Source organism: Homo sapiens, chromosome 13, assembly GCF_000001405.40.
Source record: "Homo sapiens chromosome 13, GRCh38.p14 Primary Assembly".
Classification (NCBI taxonomy): domain Eukaryota; kingdom Metazoa; phylum Chordata; class Mammalia; order Primates; family Hominidae; genus Homo; species Homo sapiens.
This window is the reverse complement of record NC_000013.11, coordinates 98,277,182-98,296,468: the sequence shown is the minus strand read 5'-3', so window position 1 is coordinate 98,296,468 and position 19,287 is coordinate 98,277,182. Positions and strand designations below refer to the sequence as shown.

At 43.3% G+C, this 19,287-nt stretch overlaps 1 protein-coding gene across 2 annotated transcripts in view, besides 2 other annotated features; it reads right to left on the bottom strand.

Moving 5' to 3' along the window:
* FARP1 (FERM, ARH/RhoGEF and pleckstrin domain protein 1) overlaps positions 1 to 19,287 on the bottom strand; it is a 312,588-nt gene that overhangs the window by 158,708 nt on the left and 134,593 nt on the right. The window lies entirely within an intron of this gene.
* Positions 10,407 to 10,908: an enhancer, noted in NCBI's record as "H3K27ac hESC enhancer chr13:98937815-98938316 (GRCh37/hg19 assembly coordinates)". NCBI's record gives its function as "activates a minimal SCP1, AML or CMV promoter by ChIP-STARR-seq in primed H9 embryonic stem cells {active_cell/tissue: H9 hESC(primed)}" and the evidence as "EXISTENCE:reporter gene assay evidence [ECO:0000049][PMID:30033119]".
* Positions 16,351 to 16,400: an enhancer, noted in NCBI's record as "active region_7898". NCBI's record gives its function as "activates an Ori minimal core promoter by ATAC-STARR-seq in GM12878 lymphoblastoid cells {active_cell/tissue: GM12878}" and the evidence as "EXISTENCE:reporter gene assay evidence [ECO:0000049][PMID:35858748]".

Below are 19,287 nucleotides of genomic sequence, written 5' to 3'. Positions count from 1 at the left end.
TCCACTCTGGCGAGAACGGGGGTTTCTACAAGGGGAGAAGCACTGATTCGGATTTTTACAGGGAAAGTCATTTCATCCAGAGAACTGGAATGGGAAGAAACTGGGGAAATAGCATTCAAGGCAGAAAGGAGAGTGTGCGCATGTGCTGGCGGCAAGGTGTACCTGCAATCGGGGGGCCACGGGACAGGAAGGAATGATGGCGGTGAGGCTGGAGAAGGTGACGAGCCTAATCCACGAAGGTCTTCCCAGTTGATTGATAATGGGAGTTTATAGATGAGGAAACTGAAGACACAGATCTGCTAGAGTAGCTGCTCTCAAACCAGGACATGCTCCATGTGGAAGCTCTTTAAAATAATGTATCGATGCTCGGGTCTCATCCCCAAAGCTCTGATGCAGTTAGCTGGTGTCGCACCTGGGAATCAGTATTCTTTTAAAAAGCTCCCCAGGTGAGGCTAATGTGCAGTTGGCCTGGACAAGCCCTGGGCTAGAGGCTAAGCAACCACCTAAGGTCATCCAAGTTCAGGGCTCTTTCTTATATTTTAAACTGCAGTGATTATGGCTCTTTAATTTCTTAATTTTAAGAATGCAAAATATAAAAGGATGGGAAGAAAGGACTCTCAGAATACCACATGCATACATACCCCAGTCTTCCAGATACAATTCTTTATCGTTGCAGAAAGAATTTTAGCTTTTATTACTTGACATGCTAGATGTCCTAATTAATGCAGATGTTAACAAATCTGAACTGACCTTTATTTCTGGAGTAAGTCTTTAGGCTGGGAAGAAAATTCCAAATGTCTCTTTATTATTTGAACCATTCTTTAAGATGGTGATGCTTTATGGAACAAGATCAGCAAGTCAAAGATGCATAAGAAACTGACTCACCCAGCCAGAAGAACATGGGGGAGGAGAGGGGGACTGGGAGGTTATTTTTATCTGCAGGCTTTTTATGCTTTCAAAGGTCATCTTATTGACAAATCTGGAGTTTATAAGCAGAGGTAGTAACCCAGCGAGCTTCCTTAAATCTAAATGGCTAGCATTCCCCCACGGAGCAAGAATAGCAAACCTGGGTTGTGTCCACTGCCCCTTCATCCTCCCCATATCCACTGAGGACACGCGAGTCTCGTGGCATTGCCTGCCCAGGGCTCCCTCTGCTGCCATGACTCCTCTAAACTTGGCAGTGGAATAAAAATCAATTTACGATTCCTGCCCTAAAATTTAATATCACTTCAAAAGAGCACCAAGGTATACCAGGCAAGAAGCCCTAAACATGAATCCCTTTCATTTAAATTAACAACATAGCCCTTTATGTAAGTAGACAGACTTGCAAAAAATAAATAAATAAATAATGCCTGGGGATATATGTGTGTGTGTGTGTGTGTGTGTGTGTGTGTGTGTGTGTGTGTGTGTGTGTGTGTGTGTAATATATATATATATAATTTTTTTTTTCTGAGACGGAGTTTTGCTCTTGTTGCCCAGGCTGGAGTGCAATGGTGTGATCTCAGCTCACTGCAACCTCTGCCTCTCGGGATCAAGCGATTATCCTGCCTCAGCTTCCCCAGTAGCTGGAATTACAGGTGCCCTCCACCACGCCCAGCTAATTTTTGTATTTTTAGTAGAGACGGGGTTTCATCATGTTGGCCAGGCTGGTCTTGAACTCCTGGCCTCAGGTGATCCGCCTGCCTCAGCCTCCCAAAGGGCTGGGATTACAGGCATGAGCCACCATGCCTGGCCTTGGGGACATACATATTTTTTGAAGAATAAAATGCTTTTCACTCCTGCCAAAACAGAAAGAAGAAATACAACAAACAAAGCCAATCTCTAAAGTGCTCTCTCCAAATTAATAATACTGTAAATTTACCTTTATGCCAAAGGCCAGGTGTGTGTCTATTTCATTTTATCTTTCCCTATAATGACTTGTGCCGAAAAGTAATAAGCAAGCACTGTCCTCACCTCACAAGTGTGTTTTTATTTTAAATTAAGTAATATGACATGTGGGAGAACTCTTAGTTCACTGCATGACATGATACAAATATAGTTTACAAATAAATATTATAACAGTATTTATCAATATTTGTTGAATGCTTGATAAGAGCATTCTTATCAATGGTTGAACCCTTCATGGTTGAACCCTTATCTTATCAATGGTTGAACCCTTCATGGCATCCCATAACCTGCCCTCCTTGAGTTAGTGGCTTTGCAAATGAGTTTCTTCACTGGTGATCATAACAAGAATAATGTTAAATTTCACGGAGCTGTGCTTTCCACAGGCCTCAGTGAGAAGGAGGGCCAAGGGTCAAATGAGAGTAAGGGAAGCCACAGTGGGGCCAAAATGCTGTTTGTTCTTTTTCCTCCTTTCAGGAATGAAAAATGACTGATCAGCTTGGTTAGAGATGATCAAATACCAGGGAAATAGCTCAAGTCCACAGACCATTCATAGATGGACTTCGACACACATAAATATACCTACTTGGTAAAGAGTAAAGCCCAAGTAGACCAGCATCTCTTGAGGCATCCTCACATTTGCCTTACAATCCCAAAAACATCTGGGAACCCTGCCATGATCAAAAGATTTGTTGACTCAATAGTGAGCTGAGCAAAAAAATGTGGGTAAGCAAAATGGCCATCTTAGTTTAAAGACAGGATGCCTGGCCCTTTCTTCCCAGTGGGCAGGAGGCCGCACCCTCTCCACTGGCCCATGTTAACCCGATAAATCCCTGCCCTGCCTTTCTCTAGGCTCAGGGAGGTCACCTTCTCCTATTCCTATTTGTCAGTACAATAGCCCCTGGCTTTACTTCCACACACATTCAGGATAAGTTGTGATCATGGAAATTTCGATTCCTTACACTGACTGACTACATTTTACATATTGTTGACAGTATCCCTGTGCCATTTGCAGCCTGCTTCCAAACCTCTCTGTGGGGTGCAGGACACCCAGAGGTTTCTCCATGGATTCTGGTGTCAACCACAGCATGTAGCCTGGTACCTCAGAGATGGGGTCCACCTTTCTTAGTGGCCCAGTGTTTGAAGTCACGCTACCTTTCCTCAGGTGACCTGTGTTCCCCTCCTCTGAAGTATGACTCTGAGCCTGCTGGGTCATCTGGCAGCAGTAGCACAACATGGCTCTGCTATGAGAACAATGTCACTTACTCCTGGGCATCCCTGACCCAGCCCTGTTCTCACAGACCTCCTTAGCTTGGTAAATATTTATCCAGCATGCCTGGTCTCAGCCAAAGCATGATAACCATCCTTTGCCTGCTCTTTATGCTAGAAGAGAAAACAATTGATTCCATTTAAATGTAACTGGAAAATAGGGCAATGTCAGTCATCCACCATTGAGTTAAGAAAAGATTCGTCCATCTGATTCTCTTTTATTCAAAGTCAGATCACATACCCACCGACACAAACGGGGGACTTTCAAAATTCACTCCACCTCTGCTTCCCCCTTTCTTTCCTACATTTTATTTACCCCATGAGTTGAAATGACTCCATTATTTTCTTATTAAAATAGGTTATATTTTCTATGTAAGTGTCTTAGAACAAAGCACGTTATCTACACAGGATCGTGTAGCTCAGTACACTGTTACTGTCCTAGACCAGAGTTACCAGCAGGATAAATGTTTCAACTGAAGGGTACAAAACTTGAGCTTCCCATCCTACACCACCAAGATCATGCCACTGTAGAACAAGATTTTCTTCAAGTCTCTTAGCATCTCCTACCCTCAGGCTTTGGGCTGGACAACAATGAGTGACATGTATGATAATTTATCATAGATGGTTCCTATACTATGTTCTCCATCAGTACTGCCCAATACAATGTTCTACCAGGGAGGGAATGTTCTATATCTGTGCTAATTCAGTAGCCACTGGCCACAGATGGCTAATGAGCCCTTGAGTATGGCTAGTGCAACTGTGTTTTCAATTTTATTTAATTTAAATTTAAATAGCCACATGTGGCAAGTGACTACTGTATTGAATGTTGCACTGCCTGGCCATGAGATACTACATTTATTATTAAGTTATTTAGCCTAAAGTGTTTTGACAAATACATTTTCCCCATGGCTTTCCCCCACCAACATTTCATTTTTACCAAGTACTTGGCATCTACTGTAACTTACAGCTCCCATTCCCCTAATTTAAGAAAATGTTAAGAGTCAAGTTCACTGGACAAACGGGAAGCAAATTAACACTTCAGATTTCTGGTTAAAAATGTGGATGCTATGTATTGAATTCAGTGGGTCTTACACTCCCTCCAACTTGTAAAATAAATGGGTACTTTTTAAATTATCCACAGCATGTAAGATACACTGAAAGGGCTGTGGATGCTTCCAGAACAACACACTTAAGGGCACACACTATACTTTGTTAAGAGCAGGAAATGTCAACAGAAAAACTCCTGCAGAGGAAGATAATTACATTTTGCTTCCTACCCTTGGAAAAGCCTTTTCAATATCCACCCACCCAAGTTTAGTTTGCTCTCCAAAGAGGTTCTTGTGAAGAACACAGAAGCTATTGTTTCCCCACCAAGGACTCTCCTCAAATAAGGCTTTGTCTCAATGCTTCACAAGACAATCACTCTCCAAGAAAATGCAGGGGAATTGGGCCAGATGGTGTCAACTTGGTGCTGTTTACACAGACTGTTCTTTGAATGACCAAGAGAGAGTTGGCAGGGCCACTTACACCAAAGACTTAGAGACCTGGAGGCGCTCAAAGGAGAGACAGCAAACAGTGATGAGAAGGTGGGGAGGGAGGCTGACGGGGCAGGAGTACTCTGGCTAGCTTGTTGGGAGTACAAGGAGTGACTCCCTGCACCAGGACATGGAATCTTGCTGAGGGGCTCAGAACAGTGTTGCTGGGATGGGATATACCCGCTGGCAGAAACTTGCCCCTCATGATAGTTCCTTTGCAGGTTTGGAATCCAACCACCAAGTTCTGCTGAACGAATGATTTTATAATCAGCTAACTCTGCCCACGATGGAAAGCAAAGGCCAGTTTCACAGACCCAAATACATTTGGCCTCTGAACGACATGGATTTGAACTGTGAGGATCCATTTACATGTGGATTTTCTTCTGCCTCTGCCGTCCCAGAGACAGCATGACCAGCCACTCATCCTCCTCCTCCTCCTCAGCCCACTCAACATGAAGACGATGAGGAGGAAGGCCTTTCGGATGATCCACTTCCATTAAACAAATCGTAAATGTATTCTCTCTTCCTTATGATTTTCTTAATAACATTTTCCTTGACTCTAGCTTACTTTACTGTAGGAATCTCAGTATATAATACATACAACATACAAAACATGTTAATTGACTATGTTATTGGTAAGGCTTCTGATTAACAGTAGGCTATTAGTAGTTAAGTTTTTGGGGAGTCAAAAGGTATACGTGGATTTCTGACTGCACAGGTTGGGCACCCCAACCTGCGTTGTTCACGGATCAACTGTAATCTCAAGAACTAGGCAACTGTAATATTTACTTATATAATCAGAGATGTGCATCCTTTCAAATTTCAAGTTCCTTTCATATGGAGCAAAGAAAGTATCTAAAATTCAGGGGCTAATGTTCTTTTCATGTGTTTGCCCCCTTGGTCTTTCCCTTCTGAAAACGGCAACTCCATTTTGCCAGCTCCTTGGCCCAAAAACCTTGGAGTCATCCATGACTCCTCTTTCTCACACATTCAATACCCAATTCTTTAGGAGATCTTGTCAGCTCTACTGTCAAAATGTAGCTGGAACCCCAGCACTTCCCACCACCTACACCAGTACGATGTTACTCAAAGCCACCGCCATTGGTCTCCTGGCCACTACTGTCCCAACTCAGCAGCCAATGTGGTCCTTTTGCAAGGTCAGGTCAGATCCGTCCTTCAGAATAAACTCTGAACTGTTCCTGGCCTACTGCAATTTCTCTGGGCATCCAACCCTATACCACACTGTCCCTCACCTGTTCTCTACAGCCATGGAGGACACCTTGCGGTTCCTTAAAGACACAGAACATGCTCTCTACCTCAGGGCCTTTGCACGTTCTCTTTTTGCTCTCTAAAACTTGGACATTTAGCAGAGACCCATGGGAAATGGGGAAGTCATTTTTGAGGTCATTTCCCATAGGTCTCTGCTAAATGTCACTTTTTCAGAGAGGCCTGTCTGACAAGTTTTATAAAATATGAACATGTATATATCCATTTGCACACCATTATGCTCTCTCCTTCCTCCCTTACTTTGTTTTTCTTTGTAGTACTTAGTACCACCTGGCATATGATGTAGTTAGGTCTTTTCCTGTCTTTCTGTACTGGAACGTAAGTTCCCAGCCCTCTACAAGGGGGAAATCCCCCAGAAGTAAGGCTTGGGGATGACGGACTGCCCTTCCCAACCTCACCACTCCCTCCTCGCCACCCAACACCAAAAAAAAAAAAAAAAGATAAATCTCCACCACACTTCTCTAAATCAGAGTTGTACTGAAAGGTGTAAAATGGGGGTGTTGTGGGGAGAAGTACGCGTGTGTATGAAACACTGACCTTTGCATCAGGAAACCTATTCAAAAACCCAGGTATTTCCAGGACAAATGTTCCTATCTCCCTGACAGTTCCTGTGCTCTTTTTCTGTATGGGCTAATTTTAATTCCATCTCATTGGGTCCCTGTAGTAATCAATGTTGACAGTCCCAGATGCCAGGCTTTCGGGAGGGCGTCTGCTTATTCCCTCGGGATTACACTAAGTGACTTAACCCACAGGACAGCGAGCAGTTCTCTAGAGTTTTCAAGAGAAATAGCATGCAGTGCACAGTCCACACCAAGAGCCAGAGGGGTCCTGCAGGGCTCTGAGCATCTGTGTATCGAGACAGTGATCTCCTTGAGAGCAGGGACCTCATCCTCCTTCATGGCTGGCCCGGATGCCTTGCATGAGATCTAGACGTAGTCAAGCTCAATACGAGCTGGAAGAATGCTGCCCAGCTGAAGATAACCAAATATTTTACAGATTGTTCACTGCATGCGGATGGCTCAAATAAATGCTTTTCATCTATCATTGGAAATAGATGCATTTTTTAAAGCATTAAGTATTACGGCCATTCATGTTGAGTATACGGAGACACCAGATTTGCACTCAGCGGGAATGAAACGGTCTTCCATTTTACGGGTAACCACTTAGAATTTCCTATGTTGTGCTTAATTTAACTTTGAGACTCTGCATTAGCCAAAGTACAATAACATTAACATTAATTGTTTCTTTAAGGGAAGAAAGGTATGATCGGATTAATGTGTCCGTGAGCACATACACCAGGCCTGGCACGTGGTTCCCAACTGCTGCTGGATCCACCCACAAGTCTTGGCATAGGACTAATTCAGCCCAAAAGTACATTTTGATGGTCTGTGGGATGGATCCCAATGGTAGCTGACAGCTGACATTGAATATTTGAGTACACGGTATCGCAAACATTAATGAGTTATAAAAGAAAATATCATCCCACTGAGTCGAATTGCTCATACACAGAAAAAAAAAAAAAAAAGCCATAGGAACTGCTGTTCCTACAATACCCAGAAATAGAATTCATAACATATGACTGGCACAATTAAGACATTTGAGAGCTTGGTAAAAATAAATAATTATGTAATAGAAAAAAAGCAGTGATAACTTTCAAAACATTTAAACACCACATAGGCCAGCATCTCGCCCAAAGCTGAAATCTCATTCACTGGATATCCAGCAGGGGTGTGTGTATTCGTTCAAACACTTGTGGAACCCAGGTGCTGTTACCGCCATCAAAACAATGATCCGTCTGTAGGCACCACTAACCATGAGACTCCTCCAGCACCTATCAGATGTTAAGACAGACACTAAGGATAAAATGACAGAAAACCGCATTTCTGGGCCCAAGGGCCTCAGAATCTATTTAAAGGAGACAATACAAAATTACACAGTGAAGGGGTTGGTGATGGGACACAGTGAGGCCACAAGCGCACCAAGGAGAAATATCATGAATAAGAAAGCAGGAAAGACTCCAAGGAAGTAATAGTGCTTTGGCTCATACTGAAGTCTGTTCAAGAAGCAAGAGGCCAAGGCATTCCAATGAAGCGCAGACATGGGGCGGGAGCGTGGAGAGGATCTGTAAGTATATCAAGAGGCTCCCGTCAGTTCCAGAATAGCCATATGTACGTGCTATGAAGCTTAGATTTTATCCCAAAGATGAAGGAAAACCACTGAAGAATAACACACTTAGCTATGCATAAGCAAACCTATACCATCCCTCCTCAGTCTTTATTGTGCTACTTACTAATTGAATGTCAGTCCTCCCCCAGCGACCCTAAGCTCCATGAGAACAGGGACTGCATGGGTTTTGTTCACCCATGTATTCCTATCATCAAAAGAAGTGTGTGGGGCCGGGTACGGAGGCTCACGTCTGTAATCCCAGCACTTTGGGAGGCCGACGTGGGCGGATCACGAGGTCAGGAGATCCAGACCATCCTGGCCAAGATGGTGAAACTCTGTCTCTACTAAAATTACAAAAATTAGCCGGGCATGGTGGTGGGTGCCCGTAGTCCCAGCTACTCGGGAGGCTGAGGCAGAAGAATCGCTTGAACCAGGGAGTCAGAGGTTGCAGTGAGCCGAGACCGTGCCACTGCACTGCAGCCTGGTGACAGAGCGAGACTACGTCTCAAAAAAAAAAAAAAAAAAAAGAAGTGCCTGGGACATGGCATAACCAGTTTTCAAGCTGTCAAACGGCACAGCACAAAACATCATATTGGATTTTTTTTTAAAGATTATGCATGAAGAGAATTAAAAATGAGCTAAAGAAAATTGAAATCAACTGTAGCTTAGGAAATTCAATATGTTGAAATATGTGCTTTTAAATAACAGGTAGGGGGCAAACAATCTAGAATCAGTCAAGTAGAATCTGGTTGCCAATGTGTAAAAGCAAAGTCAGAATAATCATGGTAAAGACACGTCTTGGCTGGGCACAGTGGCTCACACCTGTAATCCCGCACTTTGGGAGGCTGAGATGGGCGGATCACGAGGTCAGGAGATTGAGACCATCCTGGCTAACATGGTGAAACCCCGTCTCTACTAAAAATACAAAAAATTAGCCAGGTGTGGTGGCGGGCGCCTGTAGTCCCAGCTACTCGGGAGGCTGAGGCAGGAGAATGGCATGAACCCGGGAGGAGAAGGTTGCAGTGGCCGAGACTGAGCCACTGCACTCCAGCCTGGGAGAGAGAGCAAGACTCCATCTCAAAAAAAAAAAAAAAAAAAAAAAAAAAAAAAAAAAAAAAAGACATGTCTGATGGTTAATTTGGAAAGGACAAATGCCTATGACATTGACTTTTTGCAGAGAAAACAAAAATATTTGGAAGATGAAAGGAAAAGCGAACATTTTGTATCTGTAGTGCAAAGCACAGTGACTATAGCAGAAACTGGTTTCTGTTTTGTTTTATTGGGAGCATGTCATGAAAACACATGCAAAGATTAAATTGCAACAGGTTGGGTCAGTACGATGCTACATAAACAGTATGAGAGTTTTTTAATTAAATTGGCTCAGGTAACAAAATGATGTGATATCATGGAAACAAAATCTGACTGGATAAGCTCACAGTACAGCAAGGATCCCTGAAGCCCATCAATCCAAAATTCTGTTATTATTCTTCCTCATTGTTCTTTTTATTTATAAAAGCTAATTTCTTTAAACAACAACAAGAAGAAGTGCCTGGGACAAAGTAGGTACTGAGTAAATGTTGACTGGATCAATGAGTCCATCGGTAATCAATGTGTTGTCTCTAGTAGGGTGGACTGAAAAGGGGTGTTTTAGTCCATTTTCACGCTGCTGATAAAGGGAAACCCAAGACAGAACAATTTACAAAAGAAAGAGGTTTAAAGGACTCACAGTTCCACATGGCTGGGGAGGCCTCAAAATTATGGCAGAAGGTGAAAGGTATGTCTCACATGGCGGCAGACAAGAGAAGAGAGAGAAGCAAAAGCAGAACCCCCTTATAAAACCATCAGAACGTGTGAGACTTACTCACTACCATGAGAACAGTATGGGAGAGACCACTCCTGTGATTCAATTATCTCCCATGGGGTCCCTTGCACAACACGTGGGAACTATGGGAGCTATAATTCAAGTTGAGATTTAGGTGGGGACACAGCCAAACCATATCAAGGGGACAGATACTAAGGGAGGCAGAAAGACCAGCTGGTCACAGGAGGGCTCTATGAAATAATGAGGCTTGTGCTCAGGAAGGAGCAGATGCAGGAGAGAGGGGCAGATAACGAGACGCAGGATCACAAGATCTGGTGACTGCTTGGCTACAAGAGACGAGTGGGCAGGAGAAACCCATGGGCCACGCAGGTTTCTGGTTTGCAGACTGGGTGGAAGGGACAGTGAGGCCAGGGGTTCTAAGCGAGGAAAGAATAAGGTATTATGAGCAGTGAGAGAGTCAATTCAGTGTTAGATATACTGATCTCAGGGTACCTAAGGGGCAGCAAAGAGGAAGCGGCATACATAGGTCTGCATGCAGAGGGAGACGTGGCCTGAAATAGACACAGGGGACCCCCAAACGGGCCAGGAAGGGGCCGTGGAACAGTGGGTGAGAAGACAGTAGCCTGGAGCAAGGCTTGGGATCATTTTTCTGGCAAATACTGACTCCTGTCAAGTTCACTGTTACTCCCAAACGATGGTTGAAAAGCAACAACTTGTCTTCTTAGTAAGCTTCCTACTATAAGCATTTTATTTTCAACTCTTAAGACTAATAACAGCGGAAGCAGTTGAACAAGATCATCTCCATAAAGGAAGAGAGTCGTTTGAATGCTGCCTGTTGGATTAAAAAGCAGTTGAGACCAAATACGCAAAACAAAATTACCCCAATGTCAGATGTAAAAAGGGCTGATGATGATTCTTTTCATTACAACCAGGATCCACTTAGGTTTCAAATTTCTGTGAGACAAGGCAGCAGATTACAGGAAGGATAATGAGCATGTTTTAATGTCTAGCAGGCACCTGGCTTTCTCAGACTGTGAGTGACATCACTAAGCAACCACGCAGCTTCCCAGGGGCTCTTTGAGATGAAGAAAAAAATGCTCAGAAAATTCTGAATGAAATAAAATGAGGAGATTAGGAGAAAAAGGAAAGGAGCTAGCATTCATGACGAGAAAACACACATTAATCTGTTTTATTTCAATTTTTTAAACTTCTTATAAGTAAGAATGCCTCCAGGTTATGGGGGGTGGGGAGGGATTCCATATTTTAAAATTTTTTAATGTGTACATGTTACATTTTTTCCCTTCAAAATAAAAAAGCTTTGTTAAGTCCAATAAGGGGACATGCACATTGTTACAATCTAGACTGCCTGCTTGATTGAATGGAATGCATTTCCATGAGCACTGCAGCATTACCTTTTAGCTACTGAATAATAATACTCGCACCTTTTGGAAAAGTAGCAACATGGAAGCAGGTTTCAAAATCTTTCATTCCAAAGTCGGATCTAGGGCCAGACCATAAATTAGACAGACTCTGTGTGGCTTTCAGGTCCAAGGGGGCCCACCTCTGTTAACAGGAGTGACATTTTCCCATCTGTCTAATAGGAAATGCGTACACAGAGAACTAGCAAGAAGTGTGCCTCAGCTCAAGGAGAGTCAATAGCTAGCAGCTGGCACAGGAAGAACGATTCCAGAGCCTGGTTTTAATCCAACACTTCACTCAAATTACTCTGAGGCAGACTGAGATCCTCTGAATATTAGAAATTAATTTTCTCAACTCACTGAGAGTAGAAACAAACTTCACTTGCAAATATAATCAGGAAAAAACATTGAGGGACAAAGGGAGTCAGTAACTCAGATACTTGAGACTGGGCATTTGGAAAAGTCTAGATATCCTTAATGTAATCAGAAGAAGAAAAAGAGCAATGGGTTCATTCATCTAATTCCGTAATGAGACTGCTATTTTTTTTCCCAAATATCTATGTGTCTGCTGAAGCCAGTTTAGCCACTTAGTTCTTGGGGATCAAATGTCTAGCTCTCGGGTTGGGGGAACACTTCTCAGGGATTTAGCTTTGTTTGTTGCCTAGGTACCGTGAGGTGAGGGCAGGGATGGGGCAGGGCATAGGAAGGGCAAGTTATGGATATGTATCATCTTGGTCATTTAAAGACATTTATACATAGAAGGAAGGTGGTGGCATTGGTTATCCAAGTGTTGACCAACAATCTTTTGGTTTCCCTGGGCCACACTGGAAGAAGAGGAAGAATTGCCTTGGGCCACACATAATATACACTAACACTAACAATAGCTGATGAGGAAAAAAAAAAATCACACAAAAAGTCTCATAATGTTTTAAGAACACTTACAAACTTGTGTTGGGCCTCATTCAAAGCCATCCTGGGCCATGGGCGTTGGACAAACTTGTTCTAGATATATCTGCACTGTCCAATATGGCAGCCACCAGCCACATGAGGCTATTGAGAACTTCAAACATGACCAGTGCAACTGAGGAGCAAACATTTTAATTGTATTTCATTTAAACTGAAATCACTATATGTTGCTGGAGCCCTTCCACACTGCACAGCATAGATTTAAAGGACACAACCTACCTTCTTTGTTAGCTGCCCTTCCAAACAGAAAATTCTAACTTTGAACATTTTGGGATTTATTTTACCCAGTAACTTGTACATCCTTAATTATAGTCAGCAAATACCCATATTTGTGGCAGTGTATTCTATAAACAAGCTAAGTAATTATCTTCATCTGCAGAGATATATAAACTAACCACATTATAGGCTGAGGAAAATTTCACTTAAAGGTATATGCTAATTATAGAAGAGCACAACCTTCAGGGTGCTTTCTCCTAAAGCAAGAACAAATATCTTAAAAATATTAGTGAATAGGCTGATAAAATCGGAAGGTTTATTATCCAAAGATTTTTCTCAGATGAAAAAAACAGAAACAAAACCAGCTTCTTAGAACGCCAGAACACCCAACACTTGGATTCTGTCCTGTTTGGTAGCCTCTGTTTATTATCCTGCCTCTCTGCAAGGGCTTCGGTAAACTCTGCTGCATCCTTAGGCTTCTGGGGAGAAGACTAAGCTTTTAATTGCTGTACATGGCATTTTCCAGGATAGCCTCTTGCATTCTACTGTTCTAAAAAATTTGAAGACAAAACCCAAGTAATTTTAGTCTTTCTTGACCTTAAATTTGCATGAACGGCTTCCTCTAAAACTTCCCTTTGGTTTTCTCCTTAGAATGAAGATGTCCTGATTTTCCTTATGAAAATTCCTAACTAAGTCAAATGACAGGAAAGCCACTTTCAAAGCATATAGATTATAGCATTTATGCAGAGTTATCCTGTTCAATCAAGTCAAAATGATCCTCTTTAAGGTGTAGACAAATTCGCTCAAGTGCACATAAAGTCCTTCATTATACAGAGAAATGCATAATAACATGTGCATACTGATAAGCATGATTATTTCAGTAAAATGCATCTTCTAAGATAGTAGGTATAATGACATATTGTTTTTATGGCAATGTCAAAAAAAATAAAGCATTTGACAGGAGAGAATTTTCCAGAAAATTTTTTATTTTTTTTTATTTTTTTTTGAGACGGAGTCTCGCCCTGTTGCCAGGCCGGAGTGCAGTGGCGTGATCTCTGCTCACTGCAACCTTCACCTCCTGGGTTCAAGCGATTCTCCTGCCTCAGCCTCCTGAGTAGCTGGGACTACAGGCACGTGCCGCACACCAGCTAATTTTTGTATTTTTAGTAGAGACAGGGTTTCACCATGTTAGCCAGGATGGTCTCGATCTTTTGACTTTGTGATCCGCCTGCCTCGGCCTCTCAAAGTGCTGGGATTACAGGTGTGAGCCACGGCGCCTGGCCCAGAAATTCTCTTTTAAGGTCAAATCTTTTAATCCTCTGATAGAAATAATTTCTGAGTAGGTTTATAATTCCTTGAGTTCTTAGAGAGAGAACTGATCTTAGACCATTTATCAAACATCCATTATTATTACTATTTTTACTATAGTATTCTAAGCCTGTCAACTTTTGAGTTACTATTTACTTTTGTAGAGTCAGAGCCTCTGCTATCAATTCTCACAGCTCACTTTGCTCTATCTCTTTCCAACCTTCTATGTCCTAGGAACAATAACTAAGCCTGTGTAGGTTAATTGAGTTTGTTAATCATGGGGTTTTTGTTTTTTGTTTTTTCCTTTTTTGAGACAGGGTCCCACTCTGTCCCCCAGGCTGAAGTACAGTGCTGTGATCACAGGTCCCTATGCTCAGGTGACCCTTCCACCTCAGCCTCCCAAGTAACTGGAACCACAGGCACACACCACCATGCCTGGCTAATTTTTCCATTTTTTTAGAGACAGGGTTTCACCATTTTGCCCAGGGTGGTCTGGAACTGCTGAGCTCAAGTGATCCGCCCACCTAGGCCTCCCAAAGCATTGAGATTATAGGCGTGAGCCACTGCGCCCGGCCTCATCATGTTTTGAATGAGGAACTAAGGAGTAAAGTACTCGGCTGATGGGCAGAGGATTTCTGCCAAGTGATGCATTCAGAGGTTCATGCCCCACGGACCCCACATTAGAATTTCACATCTGCCTTAAAAGAAGTTGAGGCAGTAAGATGCGTGCCCTCCAAATAACAGCTGAAGTCCAAATTTCAGTTAACAGAAAATTAGCTGGGTAACTTACTATTAACCAGAATCAAGGGTACCAGATAATTCTTGGAATAATCAGAGGGCCTCGCAGTTCATAACAGCTGAGGAATATCACTCCCCTGTATTGTCAAATGCCAAAGACTCATCATTAATGTTGACCATGGAGCAGATTTCTTGTTTGCAGTTAGTACATTTTCATTTTACCTTTAAAATTAGCTAGAGGTAAAAGCATTTTGATGCTCCACTTTTAGTGACTTTCTTGTGCTTGTTGTATGGGAAGGTAGAGACATGGAGTGAATGTGGACTGTAGTGAATACAGATTCCCTGACAGGAGGGCAATAAGGAGATCCAGGCCAGGTGCAAATAACTGCACTGTGATTAAAGAGGATGGAAATGAATAGACATACAAGAGCCACTAAAAAGCTATGCCTTCTTAAACAAGCTTGCTGAAAGGAACTTTTTTTTTTTTCCCTCCAAGACAGAGTCTTGCTCTGTTGCCCAGGCTGGAGAACAGTGGCACGATCTCAGCTCACTGCAACCGGCTCACTGCAACCTCCGCCTCCTGGGATCAAGCAATTCCCCTGCCTCAGCCTCCTACTCAGCTGAGATTACAGGTGCGTGCCACCACACCCAGCTAATTTTTGCATTTTTAGTAGAGACAGGCTTTACCATGTTGGCCAGGCTAGTCTCCAACTCCTGACCTCATGATCTGCCCACCTCGGCCTTTCAAAGTGCTGGGATTACAGGCATGAGCCACTGAGCCCAACCTGAAATAAACTTTATAACTAGCCATTATTAATAAATATATTTTTGCTTTTACTATTTATAATACATAATTGTCCAAAAAAGTTTTAATTGCATTAAGTAGTAACAGATTAGGATTACATTAATCATGTTAGGTGTAAATTTAAAAATTCACTCCTAACAAAAACATCCCTCTCTGTATTTTTGCTTTTCTCAGAACGAACCCAGCCATCTATTTTCTCTGATTAAACTACCATGGGCCCTAAATAAGTGGGCTAATAACATCCAGAGAAAGAATACGATCGTGCTTTTGTAAAATGAAGAATAAAAATGGAGTCAATGGAATTGAGTAAACGATCAGTAAAGAAGTTGAGGGATGAAGTCCAGGCAGTTGAGTTTTCTGGAAAAATTCATTAATTTGTCAAACTTAGGATTTGAAGAAGTGTCTGTGAACAGAAACCCCCCAGGGTTTGGGTTACATGATGAACTTGTTCAAGTTGCTCGTTTACCACAGTCGTGGGTGCTGACAGTACACCGGGTGTCCGGCCAGGCTCTGTGCAGCTATACGGATTCAACAGGGACACAGACAGGAGCAGACAGAGAGCTGGGGTGAGCGGGGAGCACATGGGAAGGACACCTAAAGAAGGGTCTTCTCGGCCAAGACATGAGGAAAGAGTGAGCCTGGGATGAAGCCTGGCAGAACTGCTCAGGAAGGCATGAGAGCAGCCGCCGAGGCCTGAAAGCTGAGGCTGCACCAGCTCGGGCCATTTCCCGTGGGGGCTCGGGGCTGGGCTGGAAAACCAGCTGATGCTGGGTGTGGAGGGGGAGGGCATGGGGGAATTGATCCCGGAGACCCCGGAAGCACACCCAGGAGGCTGTTTTCTAGGGGAAGCCACTGCTGGTTTTTAAGCAGAAGTGACGCCAGCTGATTTGTGTGTTAAAGAAGGATTTCCTCAAAAGAATAGTCAGCATTGAGGTCATGGAGGGGAGCCACGGGCACTGCAGGCAGAGAGGAAATGGAGGCGACATGCATGGCTGGGAGCAGGGCATGCAGGGGAGGGCACAGGGGCACTGATGTGGCAATGGTTACCTCCCCCTGGGAGGAGCCAGGAGCAAGGGAGAGGCTGAAAACACCTGAGAAAGGTGCTGGGCACATCAGGGTCAGACAGCGGAGAACGTGGGGGAGACCCGGAAGACAGAGGGGGGGCGTCGCCTGGTACCGGGGCCACAAGTCTTCAATCTGAGCTACGTCATACCCCACAAAGCCACATCCTACATCCTTTCTTGGGATCACTGATTCTTGTCCAAGCCTCTACGAGTAACAGTAGCAAGGCACAGGATTTCAGAAGACAACCCACCTACCAGGGTATATGCAATGGTGATGTCCCTGACATCCCCTGGGGCAGCTGTCACTCTGCTGCAGGGGCCCCACCCAAGCTCCTCTCAAGCCGAACAGAACCAGCCTCTGCACGTGCTCTGCCCACTGGGGCGGGCACTAGCCACATGTGGCTAGTAAGTTAATTAAAATTAAATACAATTAAGAATTCAGTTGCTCAGTCAATCCAGAACCACATTTCCAGTGGCTACTGAAACAGCAGAAGCCCAGAACATTTCCATCATCACAGCAGTTCCACCATTCAGCACTGCTGTAAAACTGTAATATGTGTGGAATTTGTTTCAAATGGCATATGCAAGGGGGAGCAAATTTTTAATTGCATTAATAAAAAGAAATTTCACTTCACAATCATTATTATTTCAACATTCTCAGTGAAGAGAATCAATGTGGAAAACAAAAGTAACCACCACTTCAACATTCTCTTGAATCTACAAAATTTTCAAAGTAATGTAATGGAAGAAATAAATGTTAATACTGGCACATTTCATGAGCAATTTTTTCTATTGTACTTAGAAATTTACTATTTATTTAGCATGCTGCCTATCTGGATTAAAAAACATTAAAATGGGCCGGGCACGTTGGCTCACGCCTGTAATCCCAGCACTTTGGGAGGCCGAGGCGGGCAGATAACGAGGTCAGGAGATCAAGACCATCCTGGCCAACACAGTGAAACCCCATTTCTACTAAAAATACAAAAAAAAAAAAAAAATTAGCAGGGCGTGGTGGCAGGTGCCTGTAGTCCCAGCTACTCAGGAGGCTGAGGCAGGAGAATGGCATGAACCCGGGAGGCGGAGGTTGCAGTGAGCCGAGATCGCACCACTGCACTCCAGCCTGGGCAACAGAGGGAGACTCTGTCTCAAAATAAATAAATAAATAAATAACATTAAAATGATAAGAAAAACAATGCAGCCTCGTCACAGCAGGTATCAAAACACCTTCATAAGTGTTCATAATTAATATTAATAAATTTATGACATAGTCCATGAAACCACAAGGTAGAAATGTAGAAGTGAAGAAGTGAAAAATCTACCATTTTCCCAGCTAGCAGGTCTTATGGGTCTTTACACAGGTTTACTGATGAGTAGTGGTTATTATGCCAATCAATATACACTCCGAACCAGAAAACGAAGGATGTTCTCCAGGGAGGACACAGACAACACTCAGACACAGCTCTGGATCTCAACCCTGTTTGCACATTAGGGTCATCTGGTGAGTTACACAACACACTCACTCACACACTTGCAACACTGTCTCACACACATTCTCACACATATACACAATGCTCACACAAGCACACTCACACACATATGCAACGTGCACACAAACACGCACTTAAACACAATATACTCTCGCATTCACACTCACACACATATACACACACTTGCAGTATACTCTCACACACACACACATACATACACACATTCACAAAATATACACATACACACACAACACACACATACAACATGTTCTCACACATACACTCACACACAACACAAAGACACACAGAACATACACACACACACACACACTCACTCACTCATACACACACCCTGGATATTAAAGTCTCACTGTGGACCGGTAGAAGAAAACACAGCTCTTTTGAATAGTCACAGTAATACTTCCCCTTAAGCTCCATTTAAAACAATAGCTTGTTAAATAACAGATCACCAGATTTTGACCATTTAAAACAATAGCTTGTTAAATAACAGATCACCAGATTTTGACCATTTAAAACAATAGCTTGTTAAATAACAGATCACCAGATTTTGACCCTCGCTGCACAATAGAATCACCTGGAAAGCTTTTCAGAAATAACAATGCCTAGGCCCCCGCCCAACCAATTGAATCAGAATTTCTGGGGGGTGGAAGTTGAGCATCCATGTTTTCCAAGAGATTTCTAGATGATTCTAATAGGCAGCTGGCATGAAGAACCAGTGCTCTCAATGAACTGAATACCATGTTTCTTGAGAACCTGAAACAGGCGCCGCATGCATAAAACAAGCCCAGGGAACTGAGACTCACTCGGCTGACTCTAAACAGTGCTCTGCCACTAGCACAGGACTCCACCCTCAAGGTGGCGTCCCCGAAGGTCTCCCAGAAGGCCTCACCCCTTTCCCAGCGCCACCACCCATACCTCCTCAGAGGAAGTCTCAGCACTGAAAAACGGCTTGTTGAATAAGCAGAACCAATTATGTGGACATGGATCATCTCTTTGTAGATGTTAATTAATATATTTCTTTCTAAAGCCAGGCATGGTATAAAACCAGCACTTTGGGAGGCTGAGGCAGGAGGATCACCTAAGGCCAGGAGTTCAAGACCAACCTGGGCAACAAAGCAAGATCCTGTTTCTACAGAAAATATATAAATAAATAAAAATAAAAATTAGCCAGGCAAGGTGGTGTGTGTCTGCAGTCCCAGCTACACGCGAGGCCATGGCCAGAGGACCACTTGAGCCCAGGAGTTCAAAGTTACAGTGAGCTATGACCACACATGCCACTGCACTCCAGCCTGGGTGACAGA